Source organism: Homo sapiens, chromosome 6 (assembly GCF_000001405.40).
Source record: "Homo sapiens chromosome 6, GRCh38.p14 Primary Assembly".
In the NCBI taxonomy this organism is placed as follows: domain Eukaryota; kingdom Metazoa; phylum Chordata; class Mammalia; order Primates; family Hominidae; genus Homo; species Homo sapiens.
This window is the reverse complement of record NC_000006.12, coordinates 94,872,449-94,875,200: the sequence shown is the minus strand read 5'-3', so window position 1 is coordinate 94,875,200 and position 2,752 is coordinate 94,872,449. Positions and strand designations below refer to the sequence as shown.

Genomic DNA, 2,752 nt, shown 5'->3' with positions numbered 1-2,752 from the left:
ATAAAGGAGGGTGTTTTAGTAGGTAGGAAGTAAATACTATTGTCACAATCCCCAGAGTAAACATAATTGTACAGACTATATTGAAACGAGGACCAGGGAGTAATTTTTAATTTGGTAATACAGGGTTTCAAAAAAATAATGTTGAAGGAATCTATAGATGAATGATTTAAGAATAAAGGGATGTAAAAATGTGGATACCAACATGTATAGATGCTGTTTATGACATTTGGGGACCTGGGACATTTATTAAGAATTATCTCTTAATCAAAGGCTTTACAGCAATATGCTTATATGCTAAAATATTTATTCCATCTTTAGGTCCAAGTTCATTATTCGCTGCATGCTCAGCTCATTTTCTTGCTATCTTACTAATGCATTAGGTAGTTTAGATGAAGAAAGTGGTTCAGTAGCTTTGAGTAATATGATGAGAACCATTAGGCAAAATTGGAGCATGATTATTCTGAAGAAAAAAAGCCTGTGTTCACATATCATTTCATACATGGTCAAGAACATTGTTGATGATCAAGAAGTGTTGAGCTGATTCTGGGAGAAATGTGTTTTCAAAACCAAACCATCATATCTACTAAGGGCTAATATCGTATATTATTAATTATGTAGGTGAAGTCAGGGACATTTTTATTAACATGTTTTTTTTAAGTGAACGAAGACTTACACTTTACACATAAATTTTTTGTATCAACCTATGAGTGAAGTATAGTTTAGATTTTAGAGATGCAATGCCTTTAAAAAAAGACTTGGGTGGAGCCAAGATGGCTGAATAGGAACAGCTCCTGTCTACAGCTCCCAGCATGAGCGACACAGAAGATGGGTGATTTCTGCATTTCCATCTGAGGTACCGGGTTCATCTCACTAGGGAGTGCCAGACAGTGGGTGCAGGACAGTGGGTGCAGTGTACCTTGCGCCAGCCAAAGCAGGGTGAGGCATTGCCTCACTTGGGAAGTGCAAGGGTTCAGGGAGTTCCCTTTCCTAGTCAAAGAAAGGGGTGACAGACACCTGGAAAATCAGGTCACTCCCACCATAATAGGGCGCTTTTCCAAGGTGCTTAAAAAACGGCACACCAGGTGATTATATTCCACACATGGCTCGGAGGGTCCTACCCCTACGGAGTCTCACTGATTGCTAGCACAGCAGTCTGAGATCAAACTGCAAGGCAGCAGCCAGGCTGGGGGAAGGGCGCCTGCCATTGCCCAGGCTTGATTAGGTAAACAAAGCAGCTGGGAAGCTAGAACTGGGTGGAGCCCACCACAGCTCAAGGAGGCCTGCCTGCCTCTATAGGCTCCACCTCTGGGGGCAGGGCACAGACAAACAAAAAGACAGCAGTAACCTCTGCAGACTTAAATGTCCCTGCCTGACAGCTTTAAAGCGAGTAGTGGTTCTCCCAGCATGCAGCTGGAGATCTGAGAATGGGCAGACTGCCTCCTCAAGTGGGTCCCTGACCCCCGAGCAGCCTAACTGGGAGGCACCCCCCAGTAGGGGCAGAATGACAACTCACACGGCCGGGTACTCCTCTGAGACAAAACTTCCAGAGGAACTATCAGGCAGCAGCACTTGTGGGTCACCAAAATCCGAGATTCTACAGCCACCACTGTTCTGCAGTCACTGCTGCTGACACCCAGGCAAAAAGCGTCTGGAGTGGACCTCTAGCAAACTCCAACAGACCTGCAGCTGAGGGTCCTGTCTGTTAGAAGGAAAACTAACAAACAGAAAGGACATCCACACCAAAACCCATCTGTACATCACCATAATCAAAAACCAAAAGTAGGTAAAACCACAAAGATGGGGAAAAAACAGAGCAGAAAAACTAGAAACTATAAAAAGCAGATCACCTCTCCTCCTCCGAAGGAACACAGCTCCTCACCAGCAACGGAACAAAGCTGGATGGAGAATGACTTTGACGAGTTGAGAGAAGAAGGCTTCAGAAGATCAAACAACTCCGAGCTATAGGAGGAAATTCAAACCAATGGCAAAGAAGTTAGAAACCTTGAAAAAAAATTAGACAAATGGATAACTAGAATAACCAATGCAGAGAAGTCCTTAAAGGAGCTGACGGAGCCGAAAGCCAAGGCTCCAGAACTACGTGAAGAATGCAGAAGCCTCAGGAGCTGATGTGATCAACTGGAAGAAAGGGTATCAGTGATGGAAGACGAAATGAATAAAATGAAGCAAGAAGGAAAGTTTAGAGAAAAAAGAATAAAAAGGAATGAACAAAGCCTCCAAGAAATATGGGACTATGTGAAAAGACCAAATCTACGTCTCATTGGTGTACCTGAAAGTGACAGGGAGAATGGAACCAAGTTGGAAAACACTCTGCAGGATATTATCCAGGAGAACTTCCCCAATCTAGCAAGGCAGGCTAACATTCAGATTCAGGATATACAGAGAATGCCACAAAGATACTCCTCGAGAAGAGCAACTCCAAGACACATAATTGTCAGATTCACCAAAGTTGAAATGAAGGAAAAAATGTTAAGGGCAGCCAGAGAGAAAGGTCGGGTTACCCACAAAGGGAAGTCAATCAGACTAACAGCGGATCTCTCAGCAGAAACTCTGCAAGCCAGAAGAGAGTGGGGGCCAACATTCAACATTCTTAAAGAAAAGAATTTACAACCCAGAATTTCATATCCAGCCAAACTAAGCTTCATAAGTGAAGGAGAAATAAAATGCTTTACAGACAAGCAAATGCTGAGAGATTTTGTCACCACCAGGCCTCCCCTAAAAGGGCTCCTGAAGG

The 2,752-nt window shown here is 43.5% G+C and overlaps 2 annotated features.

The window, feature by feature from the left end:
- Positions 493-1,156: an enhancer, noted in NCBI's record as "NANOG-H3K27ac-H3K4me1 hESC enhancer chr6:95583763-95584426 (GRCh37/hg19 assembly coordinates)". NCBI's record gives its function as "activates a minimal SCP1, AML or CMV promoter by ChIP-STARR-seq in primed H9 embryonic stem cells {active_cell/tissue: H9 hESC(primed)}" and the evidence as "EXISTENCE:reporter gene assay evidence [ECO:0000049][PMID:30033119]".
- Positions 1,157-1,821: an enhancer, noted in NCBI's record as "NANOG-H3K27ac-H3K4me1 hESC enhancer chr6:95583098-95583762 (GRCh37/hg19 assembly coordinates)". NCBI's record gives its function as "activates a minimal SCP1, AML or CMV promoter by ChIP-STARR-seq in naive and primed H9 embryonic stem cells {active_cell/tissue: H9 hESC(naive and primed)}" and the evidence as "EXISTENCE:reporter gene assay evidence [ECO:0000049][PMID:30033119]".